Source organism: Homo sapiens, chromosome X (genome assembly GCF_000001405.40).
Source record: "Homo sapiens chromosome X, GRCh38.p14 Primary Assembly".
In the NCBI taxonomy this organism is placed as follows: Eukaryota; Metazoa; Chordata; class Mammalia; order Primates; family Hominidae; genus Homo; species Homo sapiens.
The window spans coordinates 19,822,347-19,839,319 of NC_000023.11; the positions used below are offsets into that span (position 1 = coordinate 19,822,347).

At 44.1% G+C, this 16,973-nt stretch overlaps 1 protein-coding gene across 18 annotated transcripts in view, besides 1 other annotated feature; it reads right to left on the minus strand.

The window, feature by feature from the left end:
- SH3KBP1 (SH3 domain containing kinase binding protein 1) overlaps nt 1-16,973 on the minus strand; it is a 353,624-nt gene that overhangs the window by 288,370 nt on the left and 48,281 nt on the right. For 7 of the 18 annotated variants that reach the window (NM_001353890.2, NM_031892.3, NM_001353892.2 and 4 more), the window contains exon 2: nt 13,779-13,936. In NM_001353890.2, the coding sequence (NP_001340819.1) occupies nt 13,779-13,936 (158 nt within the window). Of the gene's footprint in view, nt 1-10,732; nt 10,806-13,778; nt 13,989-16,973 lie in introns of those variants that run through there. The other 11 variants (XM_017029468.3, XM_047442043.1, XM_017029467.3 and 8 more) reach the window with 3 other exon arrangements.
- Nucleotides 14,174-14,233: a silencer, noted in NCBI's record as "silent region_20689". NCBI's record gives its function as "represses an Ori minimal core promoter by ATAC-STARR-seq in GM12878 lymphoblastoid cells {active_cell/tissue: GM12878}" and the evidence as "EXISTENCE:reporter gene assay evidence [ECO:0000049][PMID:35858748]".

Here is a 16,973-nt window from a genome sequence, read left to right on the forward strand (position 1 = left end):
TTCATTTTTTACAGACTATTTTCTATCTGTTGTTCAGACTAAGTAAGTTTCATTGATCTATTTTCAAGTTCACTGATTCTTTCCTCTGTCATCTATTATTGAGCTCATCTGGTGAGCTTTTTAACTTGTTTATTTTTTGGTTCAATAACTTCCATTTTTAAAAAACCTATTGATTTGCTGAGATTTTCTAATTTTTCATTTGTTTCAAGAGTGTTTGGAATTGCTTATTAAGGCAATTTTATGACAGATGCTTTAAAACCTTTGTCAGATAATTCCAACATCTGAGTCTTCTCAGTATTAATATCTGTTGATTGGCTTTTCTCATTCGAGTTGTGATTTTCCTGGTTCTTGGTATGACAAGTGATTGTTTAAATTGTACCTTGGGCACTTGGGTTATTATCTTACAAGACTCTAGATACTATTTAAATTTTAGCTGGCATTAACCCTATTGAGGCTAAGTACGCACATCCTGGGCTATTTTCGTTGGCTGCAGTTTTAACGATAGTTTGATTTCAGAGCCCTTGCAGTACTATTCTGGTCTGCTTCATCTCTGTTACTTAGAGGTCATTCTGAAAACCTGGGTGATATTCTGTGTTAAAGTTTCTATTGCTAAACTTTTTGGCATGTTTGTTCTAGTCAGATTCACATGCAGGTGGGTTAGGAGTTGTTTGCCCAGGACTTCCAATGCAGGCAGGGAATATTCCTTTAATTAATTCCTTTCTTCAGCTCCCTCCTCTCCAAGATTTTCCCCATTCTCTAGTGGGGAGGGGGAGCTGCCTACCACTGCTGAGTGGGAGGATGGGGATGGAAGTCCAGAATCCCCAGTCAGTCTCCACTGACGACATTCCAGCAGAGGAGGGAATGCTGCCATGGGTTATCTAAAACGACACCCATTTTTTATCTCACAGTTCTGTAGGTCAAAAGTCCCGATAGGCTCAACTGGATTCTTTGTTCACTCAAGGTCTCACAGGCCAATATCAAGATGTGAATAGGCTAGACTTTTATCTGGCGGCTTGGAAGAATAACCCACTTCCAAATTCACTCAGGTTGTTGGCACAATCCAGCACCTTGCGGCCGTAGGTCTGAGGTCTCCATTTCTTTCCTGGCTGCCAGCCAAGGTCTACTCTCTGCTCCTATAGGCTGCCCATTTCCTTCTTACATGACCCCTCCCTCTTCAAAGCAGCAAGTCCTCCTCTGACTTTCTCTTCTGCCACTAGACAGGAGAAAGTTCTCTGCTCTTAAGGACTCATGTTAGGCCCACCTGGATCACCTCCCTGTTTAAAGATCAATTGTGCCATATAACATAACAAAATCACTGGAGTGATAGCTCATCACATGTAGAAGTTGTGGGGACTTAAGAGTAGAATCTTGAGGACCATTGCTAGAAATTGTGCCTATCTCACTACCACCAGGTATAGAGTGGGATGGAGAATCACTGAGTACAGAAGTTCCGCAATTAGAATGTATTAATTCTCTTTGGTTTTTTTTGTTTTTTGAGATAGTCTCACTCTGTTGCCCAGGCTGGAGTGCAGTGCCACAATCTCGGCTCACTGCAACCTCTGCCTCCCAGGTTCAAGCGATTTTTGTGCCTCAGCCTCTGAGTAGCTGGGACTACAGGCATGGACCACCACGCCTGGCTACTTTTTGTATTTTTAGTAGAGACAGGTTTCATCATGTTGGCCAGTCTGGTCTCGAACTTCTGACCTCAAGTGATTCGCCCGCCTTGGCCTCCCAAAGTCCTGGGATTACAGGTGTTAGCCACCACACCCAGCCAGAATGTATTAATTCTAATGGACTTAAATCAAGCACTGTTTACATAGCACTATGTTCTTTGTGTATTTGTAGTAAACTTTTACAATAATTTCCAGCATGATTGTGTTTACTTACATATTCACTAATATAGCTATTAATACTTTATCCATAAAGCTACTTTAGAAATAAGATGAAAATATTTTCTAATTGAAGTCACCAGCTACCAATTCATGTTCTTGAGAAAAGAAACTAGAATTAAAAACATGGTACTGCCCTATCGGTACCATTGTGCAAAATGAATGCCCAAGCTTTAGATCAAGCAGCAGAATCACCTGAACTTTTTAAAAGATTCTAAGGCTTCTATCCCTACTCCTGCCCCCAAAACAAAATTCTGATGACGTAGTGCACCTGGAGCAGGACCAGGTTAGAGACACACTGACATGGAGTCGCTGTGGGAGCCCCAAGCTTAACAAGTTTAAATATCCAGTAATGATCACGGTGATATCTCAGATGGTTTAGATTTTGATCTGGTAGAAAGCTAAGGGTTAAAACACATGATCTTAAAGTCCCTTTCCAAGCTAAGATTCGATAATCTTGCCATTAAGAAAATAAGATTCCATTATGCATAATCACCACGATCAACTCAGTCAGGCGATTAAAACTCACTGAGGTCACAGCTCTCCCTGAGTCACAAGACCGCCCCCCTCCACCACATTTTCTGCACTACAACAGTTACAAAGCCTGAAGAAACCACCAAATGATGTGGGTTCTTATTGGTAACACACTTGTACTTAATTACTCCAGACCCTACTTGGAATAACATTTCTCACAACAGAATCTAACAGGTTCCAGTTGTTAGTTTTAGAAATTGTTTTTCTGAAAGAAAACTGTATGTTTAAAGTTTCAAGAATAATTTGAGCTGGAATTGGTTGGTTTTGAGGGCCCCGTGGATGGGGAACAATTGGATAGTCACACATCTTGATTATTTACCACTGATAGAAAAGACAGTCAAACTCCTAGAAAGCATAGCCTGCTGAACACTGCAAAACAACGTGTGCTTACAAATTAATAATAACGAAATATTTTCCCTAATTGCCTTAATTTCAGAATTTGTAGGAAAAAACAACACAAGCCCATAAATCCAGGCAAAGGTTGTTCTTTTGAGTTGAAAGGGCCAACTTTTGAAGAGAATTATTTAAAATGCAGACAGAAATAAGTTAAATACCATGATTCCACCTGAATGGACACTTGGGGAAGGCATAATACAGCAGACAATAATGGTGAGGAGCACAGTCCTGTCAGGACAATTCAGACACCCAGATAATGCTGCCCGCTTGAGCTCAGGTTGCAGAGCTGGTTGGCCTAGATTCTAATGCTCTCTTTGCTCCTCACTAGTTTGTGTGACTGTGAGTATGGCTTTTAACACTGATATGCCTCAGTTACCTGTCATAGAGTGGTAGAAGAATTTGATGAGATAAAAAAGCATGGAAAGGGGCTGGGCACGGTGGTTCATGCCTGTAGTCCCGGCACTTTGGGAGGCTGAGGCAGGTGGATTGCTTGAGACCAGGAATTTGAGACCAGACTGGCCAAGATGGCAAAACCCTATCTCTACTAAAAATACAAATATCAGCCAGGCGTGGTGGTGCACGCCTGTAATCCCAGCTACTCCAGAGGCTGAGGCACGAGAGCTGTTTGAACCTGGGAGGTGGAGGTTGCAATGAGCCCAGATTGCACCACTGCATTCCAGCCTGGGTGACAGAGTGAGACTCAATCTCAAAAAACAAACAAACAAAAAAACATGGAAAGGGCTTGGCCTCCTTCCTACCTGGCATACAGTAAGGGCTCAACAAATTTTAGTCACTGTACACAGACAGACATGGGTAGATTATACATACAATGCCAGGCAGCCAGTAAGCCTTGAATAGAATGCAGCCATTATTACTCCATAAAGTAACACAGCCATCAGGGCCAAAAAGCTAACTGTAGGTTCATTTAGCACATTCTAACAGTTGCTGGATGAATTCAGCCAGAAACTTCTCAAGTGGCATTTTAATCCAGAACATCTTTACAGAATATCTTTGTAGAACAATGTTTAAAGCACAGAATTCCCAAAGGCAGGTCATAGGAGCTAAAACTATCATCCTCTAGAAGTTACATTTGTGACAATATTCCATTCAGTCCATCTCATTTGAGTTTATATCCTCTGGTGCCTAACACACAGCAGATGCCCACATGCCCAAGGACACCAGGACTAAATGTTGTGAGCAAGATGAGGCTCTGCACATTATAATACATACCTGGACAGGGCACGGTGGCTCCTGCCTATAACCCTGGCATTTTGGGAGGCCAAAGCGAAAGGATCACTTGAGCCCAGGAGGGCAACCAGCGTGGGCAACATAGTGATACCCCCATCTCTACAAAAAATTTAAAAAAAAAAAACAGGTTAGGTGGTTACATGTGTATAGTCCCAGTTACTCGGGAGGCTGAGGTGGTAGAATCACCTGAGCCTGGGAGGTTGAGGCTGCAGTGAGCCATGATCATACCACTACACTCCAGCCTAGGCTATGGAAGGAGACACTGTCTCTAAATAACATAACATAACATAACATAACATAACATAACATAACATAACATAACATAACATAACATAACACACCCAGAAAAATTACTGCTACCTTGTGAAGAGAGACAAACATCTTGAAAACAATCATCCATATAATTCACAAAATTAATGGCCCTTGAGTTTAAAGTTTAAAGAAAAGTGAAATATGATTAAAGAGGTCCATGTCAGGGTCTTTGAATGTAGAACAGTAACCTGAAAATCTCTACTTTATGACACTTGTTGAAGTAGATTTGTGATCCCTTCATAAATCAAGAAGAACAAAGTAACTGTGAGCTTTATCTTGGAGTGGTACAATTAGGCAAAATACTGGCCTTTCGCCTCATGGATCAAAAAAGAACAGCCACATTCACCAACCACTTTAAACAAATATCAAAATGGGCTCTAAATGTGCCAAAGAGAGATCTAAAACACCTAGCAAATGAAAGCTGAGGCCACGGCAAGTGAGCTGAGAATGGTTATGCTCAGCACACATAGGACATGCAAGCTGCAAGTGTACACACTTCACCCATCAACAATTGGGCAGGCAGAGGGGAAAATGTACTTTTGCCGAACACATACAAAAACAGGCAGAGAAAACAGCTTACTTCCTCACAGACAGAGTCAGATAAATTTAAAGATCAACAAGCATATTCTTTTAACCCCTATCATAGCTTCCTGCCTTCCACATGTCTATCTGTGAGCTACAAAATGTTGAGGGCCTGTGTCCTGTTGAACTTTATCAAATGTCCCCTAACAGACAAATGTCCCCTAAAAGAGCAGGCAGACACATGCACATCAGCCCGAGCTATAGTTTCAAGGCTTTTTTTCTTTTAAAATTCATTTGAAAATGAATAGCTGTGGGTCCCTTCCAGGAGAACTCAGAAGAAAAGGCTGCTTATACATGCTTTGCTTGACTAAAGAACAATGTTGTCTGGATCTGAGGGTAAGGTTTTAAAAGGAAGATACTGGTAGTTAAATCCAACATGGGAAAATTAACCCCTGTGAAAGAGTCCACATCTACCTGAAATAGGTGACTGGCTTTCTGTTTTAGGTAGCAGTCTGAGGTCCCAGAAGTGCAGTCTTTTTTTTTTTTTTTTTTTTTTTTTTCATTAAATGACTTTAAGATATCATCCTAGTTTTTCCTATTATTGTACCCCATATTATGGTCTGTCATGGTCTGTTAAACAAAAAAACAAACAAACAAACAAACAAACAAACAAACAAAAAACCCAAAACTTAGAAACTAGGCAAAAAAGATGATCATGTGACCTTTTAATGTCATGCTATTGCATTTTTAATAAACACTCCCCCCCATCCCCCGCCAGGAGGGTCACCTGACTCTGAAAATGTAACTTGATTTAACTAACACTACTAGGATATTTTACAATCCTATAAAAGTCAGAAGATAATGTAGAAAAATGATAAGGTATGCTGTTTTCTCTTTTTTCTTTTCTGGTAGAGATGATAACCCCAAAGGTAAAGATTTTATTGTTCTCTAAGACATGAACCAGTTTTGAACCTAACTTAGCAATCTTATTTGAACATTCCTTTTTCCACTGAGGTTTTTTTTTTTTCCACTGAGTTCCTCATATCCTCACTGAGCTTGTTTTGTTATTCTGCTAGTTCCCTCATTAAATAAGTTCAACGAAACTTTGACACATGTTCTTTGTATGTTTTTAACAATATAATAGGCCTGGCATAGTGGCTCATACTTGTAATCCCAACACTTGGGCAGGCCAAGGCGGGAGGATCACTTGAGCCCAGGAGTTCAAGACCAGCTGAACAACATAGCAAGACCCGCCCAGGCACGGTGGCCCACGCCTGTAATCCCAGCACTTTGGGAGGCTGAGGCGGGCGGATCACTTGAGCGCAGGAGTTGGAGACCAGCCTGGGCAATATGGTGAAACCCCGTCTATACAAAAAATACAAAATAATTACCCAGGTGAGGTGGCATATACCTGTGGTCCTAGCTACTTGGGAGGCTGTGGCAAGAGGATCACTTGAGCCCAGGAGTTTGAAGCTACAGTGAGCTATGATCCCACCCCTGCACTCCAGCCTGGGTGGCAGAGCAAGACTGTCTAAAAAAAATAAAAAAATAAATTAAAAATCAGTCTTTGTCAGTTCCTGGGGCCCAATAATCAAATCATCACTGGGAGATTGGGTTCTGTGCATCAGGACGCCTCACCAGTTATATTCATAGGTGGCTACATTATGACAAGATTCAGGCTGATTAGCTAAATTGACTAGTGTGGCGCAAATGAGGCTTCAGGCACAGGTATGGCACCTCCTCCCCTCACCCAATGGAAGCCACAACTTTACACAGAGAAAAATCTACAGGTTGAAAGTCAGTGACAGCAGCAATTCCACTCTTACATGTGTGCATATGCAAGAGCAATTAGTGCTAATGTCCATAAGACAACATACAAGAATGTTCAGAGCCTCTATCAATAAAATCCTCAAACTGGAAACAACCCAAATATCCATCAACAAAATATTAAACAAATTATGGGATATTCATCATAATGGGATACTACACAGCAAGAACAAAGTACCGATGTACGCAAAAACATTTTGTTGTGCACCAGTCATATATAAAAGAACATATATTGTATGACTCCATTTATACAAAATTCTAGTACAGGCAAAACTAATGTATGATGATCAATTTCCTAGGGGGAGAGGAATCATTGGGAAAAGGCTTGGTGGAACTGTCTGTTCTTTTTTTTTTTTTCTTTAATGAAAGCAAATTTATTAAGAAAGTAAAGGGGCTGGGCGCAGTGGCTCATGCCTGTAATCCCAGCAATTTGGGAGGCCGAGGCAGGCGGATCACAAGGTCAAGAGATTGAGATCGTCCTGGCCAACATGTGAAACCCTGTCTCTACTAAAAATACAAAAATTAGCTGGGCATGGTGGCACGCACCTGTAGTCCCAGCTACTCGGGAGGCTGAAGCAAGAGAATCCCTTGAACCCGGGAGGCAGAGGTCGTAGTGAGCCGAGATCTCCCCACTGCACTCCGTCTCAAAAAAAAAAAAAAAAGAAGAAGAAGAAAGTAAAGGAATAAAAGAATGGCTACTCCACAGGCAGAGCAGCCCCGAGAGCTGCCTGGAGCTGCTGGTTGCCCATTTTTATGGTTATTTCTGGATTATATGCCAAACAAGGGGTGGATTATTCATGAGCTTTCCAAGAAAGGGGTGGGCAATTCCCGGAACTGCGAGTTCCTCCCCTTTTTAGACAGTATAGGGTAACTTCCTGTCATTACCATGGCATCTGTCAACTGTCATGGCACCGTTGGGAGTGTAGCAGTGAGGATGACCAGAGGTCACTCTCATCACCATCTTGTTTTTGGTGGGTTTTAGCCGGCTTCTTTACTGCAACCTGTTTTATCAGCAAGGTCTTTATGATCTGTATCTCGTGCTGACCTCCTATCTCGTCCTGTGACTTAGAATGCCTAACTGTCTAGGAATGCAGCCCAGTAGGTCTCAGCCTTATTTTACCTAACCCCTATTCAAGATGCAGTTGCTCTGGTTCCAACGACTCTGACATTTCCCCCTTCCTTTTTATAGGCATGCTGGAACTTTCTAGAGGGATAGAAATAGCATTGATCTGGGTGGTGGTTATAGAGGTACGCACTTACGTAGAAACAAAAAAAAAAAAATCATCAAGCCATAGACATATGACTTATGCATTTTACTCTACATAAATTTCACCTTAAAAATGAATACTTTTGTAAAGGGGAGGGATAAAGAAAAATGTATTCCAAAATAAGTGGGTGGGGGCCAGGCATAGTGGCTCATGCCTATAATCCCAACACTTTAGGAGGCCAAAGTGAGAGGACTGCTTGAGCCCAGGAGTTCAAGACCAGCCTAGGCAACATAGTGAGACCCTGTCTCTACATAATTTTTTTTTTTTTAATTAGCCAGGTGTGGTGGCTCACACCTGTGGTCTCAACTACTCAGGAGGCTGAGGTGGGAGAATTGCTTGAGCCCAGGAGTTTGAGGCTACAGTAAGCCGTGATCACGCCACTGCACTCCAGCCTACGTGACAGAATGAGACCCTGTCTCAAAAAAAGACATGGGTGGGGAGAGAGAGAAAGAAAAGAAAGAGAAGGGAGATTTTAAAAGATTCTTCTTCCATATTTACAATAAATAAATAAGGACAAACTAAATAAAAGAGAGACAAACCTAAAAAGGCATGTGGCCTAGCTGGGTACATTTCTGCATAATGAAAAATAGCCCAAGAGCTGACAAAGCACAGGTATCTTCTTAACAATGGGATGGCCTGCTACTCAGTATACCAGGGGAATGGCTGGTATTTTTCTCTTGAGAGACTGAGACAGCACTGAGATGAAGGTGGATACGAATCCCAACACTCTGGAGGACCACGCTCAAATGGGATACTGAATAAGGATCTGCTAAATGAATCAAGAAAATGTTTGGCAGGGCATGGTGGCTCACGCCTGTAATCCCAGTATTCTGGGAGGCCGAGGCGGGAGGATCACTTGAGGCCAGAAGTTCAAGACCAGCCTGGGCAATATAGCAAAACCCCATCTCCACTAAAAATACAAAAATTAGCCATGTGTGGTGGTGTGCACCTATAGTCCCAGCTAGTCAGGAGGCTGAGGTGGGAGGATCACTTGAGCCTAGATCGACACTACAGTAAGCTGTGAACATGCCACTGCACTCCAGCCTGGGCAACAGAGTGCAACCCATCTCAAAAAAAAAAAAAAAAAGAAAAGAAAATGCTTAAGGTAGGCTCTCTGACAGTGGTAACATGGACAGAAAGGCATGTGGGTATAAAAATGGGATTCCTGACCGGGTGTGGTGGCTCACACCTGTAATCCCAGCACTTTGGGAGGCCGAGGCAGACGGATCACCTGAGGTAGGGAGTTCGAGACCAGCCTGACCAACATGGAGAAACCCCGTCTCTACTAAAAATACAAAATCAGCCAGGCGTGGTGGCACATGCCTGTAATCACAGCTACTCGGGAGGCTGAGGCAGGAAAATCACTTGAACCCAGGAGGTGGAGGTTGCGGTGAGCCGAGATCACACCATTGCACTCCAGCCTCAACAACAAGGGTAAAACTCCATCCCAAAAAAAAAAAAAGAAAGACATTCCACAAAACTACCCAATTCCATCTGGGGACACATTATTCTTACACTACATAGGACATGCATAAAGCCACTTTCAAAAGTGCACACCTATGCCAATATGATTACTATTACTTAAAGATGCATTTTCAGCTTTTAGAATTCTCTACAGAGTCCTGGTTATTGTTTAACTCCACTGCAACCACCTACTGAATTTTCAATAATAGGCCTAAAACATTTCCAGTGGGTGAAGACTTGAAAATAGACTCAGCCATCTGAAAGAATAGAAGTTTCTTTTTCTGCCAAATGTGACAGCTACAAGTAGCGCAGCCCCAGCCACTCCTGCTACATCCTTTCTGCCCTAGGTAGAGCAAGCATCTCTCAAGAGCATGTCTTCCCCTCCCTGGAAGTGCTCCGGCTGAAACTAGAGGACACCTGAGCAGGTGAGCGCAGGGCAATTCAGGCCCAGAGGAGAGGACCCATTCCCTCACCCAGTGACCAGCACTGTGGCACACTCACTGAGGGGCTGGCCACTGTGCTAAACAATTTCCAGCATTCTCTGGTTTAATCCTCTGAACAGGCCGATGAGGTAGTCGGGTTCTCAAAAGGAAACAGATGGCCCACTCGAATTAGGGTAATCTCAAGTGGGATTAATACTCTTTCACAGGGTGGGTGAGGTATAAAGAAAGCCCAAGGTGGTAGCCAGGGACTCGAAACAAGGAAGCCCCCAGACCTGAAGGAATGAGGAGAGAGGGGTAAGGAGGAAGGTGAGCCTGACTGGAGCAGCCACCCATCCCATGAGAGACACGGCCAGCCCAAAATCCACATGAGCAGGGAGTTGGTGGGATAACCGCCTCCCCCCGCCCCCCAATCTCACTCGCATCCCTCCCTGCCATCTCCCACCAGGGCTTCCCTTGAGCCAAAGCCCATGGGAAGCCACAGGACAGGAGCCTGCTGCCATGCCCACACTGGCCTAGCCCAAAGCAGAGCAGGTGGGGCAATGCGGAGACCTTCTGGTCAAGACATCACCTCCATTTCACAGCAAGGAGTCCTCTCCGAGCAGGGGGAGGGTCAGGTTCCAGCTCTCGCGTGGGCAGTTCCTACACTGCATTTCCCTGCCCTGGTTCCCTCCACAGTCACTGACAGCGCGCCAGCCCTATGCTATGAGCAAATTCCATAGGCTTTCTCAGTGCCTTCCAACTCAGTTCTCTGAATCTGTAGATTTGTGGTTTAAAATCAGGTGACACTAGGCCAACAAGACACATTAAAGGTGTTCAAAATACGACCTACCCTCAAAACTGGAGCTGATGCTGCAGTCCCTTCTCCTTCCCAGGCTCCTCCTCTCTCTTTCCCATGGTCCTCCTCTCCTTCCCACGGTCCTCCTCTCCTTCCCACAGTCCTCCCTCCTTCCCAGGGCCCTCCTCCCTCTTTCCCACAGTCCTTCTTGCCTTCCCACATTCTTCCTTCCTTCCCAGGGTCCCCCTACCTCTTTCCCATGGTCTTTCTCCCCTTCCCACAGTCCTCCTTGCCTTCCCACATTCTTCCTTCCTTCCCAGGGTCCCCCTACCTCTTTCCCATGGTCTTTCTCCCCTTCCCACAGTCCTCCTTCCTTCCCAGGGTCCTCCTCTGTCTTTCCCACAGTCTTCCGCCCCTTCCCACAGTCCTCCTTCCTTCCCAGGGTCCTCCTCCCTCTTTCCCACAGTCCTCCTCACCTTCCCAAAGTACTCCTTCCTTCCCAGGGTCCTCCTCTCTCTTTCCCATGATCCTTCTCCCCTTCCCACAGTCCTCCTTCCTAGGGTCCTCCTCCCTCTTTCCCACCATCCACCTCGCCTTTCCACAGTCCTCCTTCCTTCCCAGGGCCCTCCTCTCTCTTCCCCACAGTCCTGCTCACTTTCCCACAATCTTGCTATCCTTCCCCACAGTCTTCCCTCCTTCCCAGGGTCTTCTCTCTTTCCCACAGTCCCCTTCTGTCATTCCTTCTTCCTTCATCTTCACTCTAACCACTGCCCCTTTTATCTGGAAAAACCCTCTTTCCACACTAGAATGCAGCTCAACTTCAGGGATGCTCCTTTCCTAAAACTGGGGTCTTTGTTGGGATATGCAAAAGAACTCCCATTCACACCTCAACAGAGTCTGTGGTGGCCCAGATGCAGCACTTTCCCACTCTTAAAATGGGAGCGAGCGGCTGGATTCAAGTGTAGTACAGTGGGGGGAAAGCCTATATTCCTACAACTCCAGAAAGCAATGTTTAGCAGCATGTTCCCTACAAAACTCTCCCCAGCCTTCTCACACCAAAGAGAAAAGAAAACAGAAATGCTAGCAGGATCACCCTGAGACAAGATCCTAAAGAAAGATTTAAATAGGTTCCTATTCATTTTCGACTCTGAAAGGGTAGTGACTGGAAGTCCAGTGTCCATCACACATTTTTCATCAACAACTCCTTGTCATAAAAAACCCCTCCCACCCAGCCCTCAGGGCTCCTTTGGCGGGGGTCACCTGCTTCTCTGGGCCCAAGGTTCCCCATACTACCTGCCTCCCTGTATCCAAGGCACAGTCCTCTTAAGTATTATCTGGTAACACGGAGACTACAGCAGGGGACCTGGGGACTTCTGCATGCAGGTCTTCCCACTGAGGACAACCCATTCTTCTGAGAACAATCCATTCTTCTCCAGTATGAGATAGAAAGTTTATGGCAAGGGGACTTCTAGACCTAGTTAATATTTCCCATGAGGAATAGCCTCCAGGTGATCTTTTTCTACCCAACAATTCAAAGTACTACTTACAACTGTGTGGTAATTTATTAATATGAATGAGTTACATTTTTATAATTAACCTGTAGATGACTTCTCCAAAAGGCATAATTTTCAAAACATTACTGAAGAAGTAAGTCTTGTTTAATGCTTCATGGACATAAAGGGGTAAAGGAAAATAATATTGCTCCTATCAAAAAGGCAATATGAGCTGGGCATGGTGGCTCACACCTGTAATCCCAGCACTTTGGGAGGCTGAGGTGGGCGGATCACTTGAGGTCAGGAGTTTGAGACCAGCCTGGCCAATATGGTGAAACCCCATCTCTACTTAAAAAAAAATACAAAAATTAGTCGGGCGTGGTGGCACATGCCTGTAATCCCAGCTACTCGGGAGGCTGAGGCATGAGAATCATTTGAACCTGGGAGGTGGAGGTTGCAGTGAGCTGAGAACAAGATCATGCCACTGCACTCCAACCTGGGCAACAGAGCAAGACTGTCTCAAAAAAAAAAAAAAAAAGGCAATATGAATACAAAGGTGGAAAACATTGCATAATTTGAATTCTATATTCATTCATTCGTTCAAAGCATTCCATAATTTGGATTCTACCTTTACTTATTTGTTTGTTTATTTATTTAGAGACAGGGAGTGCTCTGGCATGATCACGGCTCATTGCAGTCTCAACCTCCTGGGCTCAAGTGATCTTCCCACCACAGCCTCCCAAGTAGCTGAGAATACAGGTGCACACCACCATGCCTGGCTAATTATTTTATTTTATTTTTGTAGAGACAGGGATCTCCCTATATTGCCCAGGCTGGTCTCAAACTCCTGGGCTCAAGTGACTCTCCTGCCTCAACCTCCCAAAGTGCTGGGATTATAGGCATGAGCCACCATGTCTGGCTGAATTCTACATTTAATTTAATTGTTATTTAAGTGGTCAAAACTGAGTTTTACCTCCATTTTGCAAGGAATAGAAAAAAATAAAATTCTTTTAAACTTCCAAAGCAAATAAACAAGTACATACAACAATTTAACAGCCTTTACTATTTTTTTTTTTTTTTTGAGACAGTCTCGCTCTCTTGCCCAGGCTGGAGTGCAGTGGCGCAATCTCAGCTCACTGCAACCTCTGCCTCCCAAGTTCAAACGATTCTCCTGCCTCAGCCTCCCGAGTAGCTGGGACTACAGGCACATGCCACCACACCTGGCTAATTTTTGTATTTTTTTTTTAGTAGAGATGGGGTTTCACCATATTGGCCAGGCTGGTCTCAAACTTCCGACCTCAAGTGATCCGCCCACCTCAGTCTCCCAGAATGCTGGGATTTACAGGCATGAGCCACTGCACCCAGCCTTAGCATATCCTAAGAAGTGATACACAGTGGAAAGAGATCATCCTGAGCCTCAAAAAAGCAATTTCAAAACAAGTATCCCAGATACCAAGGGCAAAACTATACATGCTTCTCTTGATATCACAGAGGAGGGCAAGCCATTCCCTAAGAGAGTTCATGCAATTCATCCTCAAGCGCCCCCATAGACTTTGGTCAGCAGAGCCCACACAGGAGACAGGAAAAGGGTTTTGCTTTGTACTCACTCTTACAAAGTTGTCAGGGAACAAACCTCTCCTGCCGTTGATCTGTCCCTCCCACCAGCCTCCATCCTCCTTCCTGATGTTGGTGATGATTTCACCCACGCTGATCGTCAGCTCATCATCGTGCTGGGCCTGGTAGTCAAACTCCACTATGGCCTCCACTGGAAGGAACAGGGAAAACAGAGTAATTTAGGTCAGATGTTGGAGAAGGCTGAGGTCCAGTATCCCTTGAAGGCCAGTAAAGTAACATTAAAGGGACTTCCCCTCTACAAATATTCAAAATAACAGGGCCACACACAGTAACCCAATTTTGGTTAACCTGAAGCCTATAGCACAGAAACCACAAAGTGCTGGTCCGTGGTCAGGCACAGGCAGGGTGGCCTACAGGTCTTGGGGCCAGCAGGCGCTTCAGAGGGGAAGCTGCATGATGACAGCCAGATAACAACATTTGCCCCACCCAGAGGGTGTCCAGCATTGTCTCCCCGAGCTCAGAGTACAGACAACAGATGTCGGTTTGACTTCTGGGTCTCCCATCCCCCGCCAATACTATGTGATGCTAACCTCTCTGGGTCTCAGTTGTACAAAATGTCAAAGCTAATAATCCCCATCTGATATGGTTTGGCTGTGTCCCCACCCAAATCTCACCTTGAATTGTAGTTCCCATAATCCCCAAGTGTTGTAGGAGGGACCCAGTGGGAGGTAATTGAACTATGAGGGCAGTTACTCTCATGCTTTTCTTGTGATAGTGAGTGAGTTCTCATGAGATCTGATGGTTTTATAAGGGACTTTTCCCCCTTTTGTTTGGCATTTCTCCTTCCTGCCACCATGTGAAGAAGGATGTGTTTGCTTTCCCTTCTGTCATGATTGTTAAGTTTCCTGAGGCCTCCCCAGCCATACTGAACTGAGTCAATTAAACCTCTTTCCTTTATAAATTACCCAATCTTGGGTATGTCTTTATTAGCAGCACAAGAACAGACTAATACACCATCCGACAGAGGTAACACCCATCTTGCAGCAACAACACGTGTAAAGACAGGTGGCATAGAGGGCCTGGCTGGCCAAGCCAATGTCTCAGACCGCCTACATCAGAACCACAACTGCCCTCTCAACAGATGAGCTCTTACGCATCAATTCCATGTTACATTGTTTTCCTGATCTATGAAAATCTCTCATACTTGGTAATGAGCAAAGGCAACAGGTAAGAAAGGTGGGTCTTCTCACTGACAAAGTGCCAATGCAAATTAGCAGCATTAACCAATCCAAAAATTAGTTAACTTATGCAATTCATTTAGACTGGACTTCTCCTCATGACCACCTCAATATGAACCAATTTCATAACACTTTTTTTTTTTTTTTTTTTTTTTTGAGATGGAGTCTCACTCTGTCACCCAGGCTGGACTGCAGTGGCGCAATCTCAGCTTACTGCAACCTCCACCTCCCACGTTCAAGCGATTCTCCTTGAATGCATGCCACCCCACCCAGCTAATTTTTGTATTTTTAGTAGAGACGGGGTTTCACCATGTTGGCCAGGCTGGTCTTGAACTCCTGACCTCAGATGATCTGCCCGCCTCGGCTTCCCAAAGTGCTGGAATTACAGGCATGAGCCACCGTGCCCAGCCACCTTTTCCTTTTTTATTTGCAGATCCGTATGAATGAATGAATGAATGGCAAATGAATGAATACAAGGATAGCAAAAATTAGATAAATCCCCAGTGGTAAATTAGCAATTCAGAAATTATGATAAAATAATGGAAGAGGAAAAGTTAAATGAGCTCTGTAAAGCATGCATATGCTAAAATTAACTCAAAATAGTTCACAGACCTAAGTGTAAGAGCTAAAATTGTAAAACTTTTTATAAGAATGGATAGGAGAAAATCTTAATGACCTTAGGTTTGGCAAAGATTTCTTAAATAGGAGACAAAAAGCACAAATGAGTAAAACAACAACAACAACAACAACAACAACAACAACAACAACAAACCAACTTCAATACACTGAGATAGGTTTTAAGCATCCATTGAGATGATGGGAGAAAAAAATTACAATGTCTATTCATTTTGTTTTAACTTTAAAAAAGTAATAATTCAACTTCTCTATTGTTCCATTGACAGAATGACACAGGTTCCTTCACCCAGTCTCCAGGACACACAGTCAGGGATCCTTTAAGGGGCAGGAAGCAGCCAGAGGGACAGTGGAATCAAGGAGTACCACCAGAGCAAGCACCAGCATTCCATGTGATGCTAACTTCTCTAGGTCTCAGTTGTATGTCAAAGCTAATAATTCCCATCTGATATGGTTTGACTGTGTCCCCACCATGGGGTGCCCTGCAGTTCTCTGGTGCCTCCTGGTACAGCCTCCTTATGGCTATGACCCCTTCTTGCTGAAATCACCCTCACAAAGTGGGTCAGCTGCTTGAAAAGATCTGTGTAAAGAAAGTAGGAGCTGTAGACAACACGAGGCCAAGTGCCAAGAAAATGGGAGAGCTGGCCGGGCACGGTGGCTCATGCCTGTAATCCCAGCACTTTGGGAGGCCAAGGCCGGCGGATCACAAGGTCAGGAGTTTGAGACCTACCTAGCCAACATGATGAAGCCCTGTCTCTACTAAAAATACAAAAATTAGCTGGGCTTGGTGGTGGGTGCTTGTAATCCCAGCTACTCTGGAGGCTGAGGCAGGAGAATCGCTTGAAACCGGAAGGCGGAGGTTGCGGTGAGCCAAGATCATGCCGCTGTACTCCAGCCTGGGGAAAAGAGCGAAACTTTGTCTCAAAAAAAAAAAAAAAAAAAAGAAAAAAAGAAAAGGAAAAAAAGAAAGAAAGAAAATGATAGAGTTGCCACTTCAGCTTCTGCTGGGAGCTCTTTGCCCACCACATGGGGAAGACACATCAGATCTTACGGGGAGATGGCCCCCAAACACTCAGTTATCAAGATCATTCATAATATGGGTTTCTTTCCACCCCTGACATTGGTGTAAGTGTGGAACCATCAGGATTAGCAAGATATTTTAAAACTATGTACCTGAACCATGAAGAAAATGTCTTCATTTTTCCACCAATGTCTAAAGTCATACAATACTCAATTTTATGTGTTTCAAAAGTTTGTTAAGCCTAATAATAACAGCGTAGGAGCTTCTCTGGGGTTTTCTTGATCTTCAATTAGTACAGGAATATATGTACACAATCTATACATAATTAAGAAGAT